Source organism: Homo sapiens, chromosome 6 (assembly GCF_000001405.40).
Source record: "Homo sapiens chromosome 6, GRCh38.p14 Primary Assembly".
Classification (NCBI taxonomy): domain Eukaryota; kingdom Metazoa; phylum Chordata; class Mammalia; order Primates; family Hominidae; genus Homo; species Homo sapiens.
Window position 1 is genome coordinate 4888425 of NC_000006.12, and position 3961 is coordinate 4892385.

The 3961-nt window shown below is 43.5% G+C and overlaps 1 protein-coding gene across 8 annotated transcripts in view; it reads left to right on the forward strand.

The window, feature by feature from the left end:
* CDYL (chromodomain Y like) overlaps positions 1-3961 on the forward strand; it is a 249407-nt gene that overhangs the window by 182287 nt on the left and 63159 nt on the right. For 5 of the 8 annotated variants that reach the window (NM_001368125.1, NM_004824.4, NM_001368126.1 and 2 more), the window contains one exon: positions 3289-3955. The exons of 1 other annotated variant lie outside the window; for it this stretch is intronic. In NM_001368125.1, the coding sequence (NP_001355054.1) occupies positions 3289-3955 (667 nt within the window). Of the gene's footprint in view, positions 1-1615; positions 2026-3288; positions 3956-3961 lie in introns of those variants that run through there. 2 more of the 8 variants (XM_047419564.1, NM_001143971.2) reach the window with 2 other exon arrangements.

The following is a 3961-nucleotide window of genomic DNA, read 5'->3' on the forward strand; positions in this document are numbered from 1 at the left end:
TGGCATATAGTTGTTCATAGTATTTTAATTATTTTTATTTCCATATGGTTTGTAGTAATGTTCCCTCTTTAATTCCTGGTATTAGAAATGTGGATGTTTATTTTTCTTAATCAAAATAAGTAAAAGTTTGTCAATTTTGTTAATTTTTTTAAAAGAAACTTTTGGTTGTGTTGCTTTTAAAATATTGCTTTTCAGTTTATTAAGTTCTAAATTGTTTCTTTTCTCCTGCTTGCCTTGGGTTTAGTTTCCTTTTTTGCCAGTGTCCTAAGATAAAGGGTTAGGTTATTGATTTGAGGTCTTTCTTCTTTTTAGTGTAGGTGTTCACTGGTAGAAATTTCCCTCCCATCACTGCTTTTGCTGTATTCCATAAGTTTTGGTATGTTGTGGTTTCCAACTTCTCTTGAGACATTTTGGGGGGAGGTGGCCCATTGATTATTTAGCATGGGTTAATTTCTGCATATTTATGAATTTTCCCAACTTCTTTGTTATTTTCAGTATCATCCCCATTTGGAGATAGAACTTGCATGATTGCAATCCTTTTAAATGTACTGAGCTTATCTTAAGACTTAGCATATGGTCTGTGCTGGCGAGTATCCTGTGTGTGCTTGAGAAGAATGTATATTCTGCTGTTGTTGGGTGCAGAGTTATCTCCTTGTCAGACTTGCATAATGTTTCCATCACAATAATTAATGGAGCAGTTTGCCTGCCCCTGGATGTCTTATTGCTCCTTCACAGTCTGATGCTGAGATCTCAAGCTATGGCTGCCTGCCGGTTAACTCAAAGAATGGTTTTCATACCTTTTTTTTTTTCTTTTTTTTGAGACGGAGTCTTGCACTGTCGCCCAGGCTGGAGTGCAGTGGCTCGATCTTGGCTCACCGCAACCTCCACCTCCTGGTTCAAGCAATTCTCCTGCTTCAGCCTCCTGAGTAGCTGGGACTACAGGTGTGCACCACCATGCCCAGCTAATTTTGTGTATTTTTAGTAGAGACGGGGTTTCACCATGTTGTCCAGGCTGGTCTCAAACTCCTGACCTCGTGATCCGCCCGCCTTGGCCTCCCAAAGTGCTGGAATTACAGGCGTGAGCCACCGTGCCCGGCCCACATTTTTTTACTAGCTGGAAAAGATCAAAAGAATAATAATATTTTATGATGTGTGAGTTATAAAATTCAAATTTTAGTGTCCATAGATAGAGGGTTTTTTTGTTTTTGTCTTTGTTTAATGCCATTTCATTCATTACATATTGTGTCTCGCTACTTCCTTGCTATAAGAACAGGGTTAAGTGATTGGGAGACCAGATGACCCATAAGCCTAAAACATTTACTCTTTGGCAGTTTATGTAAAGTTTGCCAACTCCTGGTCTAATGTGTCCACTATGACTTCCTTATGTATACTCAGTCTGGCCACTGAGTATGCCTAAAAACGGAGCACACACCTACCGTTAGCTGCGGAGGCTACTGTTGCTCTTCCTCTTTGCTCAATTTCCTGAGGAGGGAGGGACAGGATCTGCCTGGGGCCTGGCAGCAGCAGGTCCCCAGGGATGCTGGCCCTGGGGGAACCAGTGGTACATGGTTAAGGAGGGAGGGGAAACAAAAGCAGTGTGCTCCACCAGGCTCCTGCCTCGGCTCTAAGGAAACAGAGGAAAGCAAACGGGAATACTCTGGTTTAGTATACTGCCCGCTTCTGGAGTGGACATTGATTTAAGGTGGGTTGGGCAGGAGGCAGGGGGAACATTAAACATAGCTTTCCTACAAGACATAATCTCATTGCCCCTTTTCTTTTAAAACTCTTAAACTATTTCTGCAAAAACGTCATCTATGTGGACTTTTCCAGAAATATGTCTTTTACTTAAATTGAAATACACCCTCATACACAACTATTCACAAGTGAAGGAGCAAGGGAAAAATCGCTTTCAAGAGCTTTCCCTGCTATGATACGGACCGCGTGGACTCGCCCTTGGTGACCTGACGTTAATTCTGACTCTGTGGAGATCTGTCAGACGTGAAATCGGCCCTGTGATGAGCTAAGGTCTTGCTGTTCCTAATCCTTTTTTCTCAGAAGCAATAATATGTATTTAATTTTAGGCTGTTCAGTAGTTAAGGGCTTCAGTTTTCTATATCTCAAGTAGATATACTGGAGAGTTTTTTATTTCTTTGAGAGCAGAGAAAATGATGGGGATGGGGTATTCTCCCGTTCTCTACGATCATCAGCACTTCTACTCATTAGGCTCGAGTATTTGGGGATGTTAGAGAACCAGGCATGCCACAGTTTCGCCTGACCTACCTCTAACTGCCAGAAATGTACTGACGTTCTTAATAATTGATAGGTGCAGACCTTTGCGTTCTTAATTAAAGAGCCACTCCGTGGCTGTAGGCCTCTGCCCACAAGATACAGAGTCACATGCTGCCCCCAGGATGCAAGCTGATGCTTTTATAGTAACTGCAGATGTAATAACAGATTCTAGGTATTTCTTCAGTAACGTATGGAGGCACTGTGTCACATAACTCTCGTTCATGTGAGTAGCGGAAGATCTCTCTTCCATTTACGCTTCAGATGTTAAGGTAGTAGAATTTGTCACGGTGATAAAACGTGCTTACAAGGCAGGGTTGTGTGAATTGATAAATTTGATCCAAAATGTATTGGTCATCCATTTCAATGATTAACAGCATCTCCATTGAAAGATGTTAGTGTAAAATTAATTAAAACCAAGATTTGAAAATAACCTGATCGCTCTAGACTGTTTTATTACAATCAAGTATGATGTTCTCTGTTGACCTTTTTAGTTTTAATTGAGTGCTTCTGAATGATACTTGTGATACAGATCATATGTTTCTTTGATGGCAGTTTCACACCACAGAAGGTTCTCAGCGCCTTGTAGCTCATTGCTGTCACCACTCCAGGCTGTTGCCTGGGTGCCCGCTGCTGGAACCCTGGGATGACCAGGCACAGCTGCAGATGCCTCGAGCTGCTCCAGCCATGAGTGTGGAAACCAACTCGGTGGTCAGGCTTCAACACAGAAATAGCAGAGAGCCCCTTTCAGTCACAAGAAACATAAGTCACCTAATGCATATCCACACGTTCTCAGCATAAAAATTTAGCATCTTGTTTGACTTACTTTCAGGGAAATTGTCCACAACCCAAATGGCCTATTACTATTTTATTGAGGTTGCAGAAGAGATCATTTTATCATCTATTGTGGTTTTTGCTATTTTTGATGTTTCCTAATGAAACTTGCACTTTTCCCCCCAAATTTTGATTTTTTTAAAACTATTTTTTTCCTTTTATGAACAGGTTGAAAGGATTGTTGACAAAAGGAAAAATAAAAAAGGGAAGACAGAGTATTTGGTTCGGTGGAAAGGCTATGACAGCGAGGACGACACTTGGGAGCCGGAACAGCACCTCGTGAACTGTGAGGAATACATCCACGACTTCAACAGACGCCACACGGAGAAGCAGAAGGAGAGCACATTGACCAGAACAAACAGGACCTCTCCCAACAATGCTAGGAAACAAATCTCCAGATCCACCAACAGCAACTTTTCTAAGACCTCTCCTAAGGCACTCGTGATTGGGAAAGACCACGAATCCAAAAACAGCCAGCTGTTTGCTGCCAGCCAGAAGTTCAGGAAGAACACAGCTCCATCTCTCTCCAGCCGGAAGAACATGGACCTAGCGAAGTCAGGTATCAAGATCCTCGTGCCTAAAAGCCCCGTTAAGAGCAGGACCGCAGTGGACGGCTTTCAGAGCGAGAGCCCTGAGAAACTGGACCCCGTCGAGCAGGGTCAGGAGGACACAGTGGCACCCGAAGTGGCAGCGGAAAAGCCGGTCGGAGCTTTATTGGGCCCCGGTGCCGAGAGGGCCAGGATGGGGAGCAGGCCCAGGATACACCCACTAGTGCCTCAGGTGCCCGGCCCTGTGACTGCAGCCATGGCCACAGGCTTAGCTGTTAACGGGAAAGGTGAGT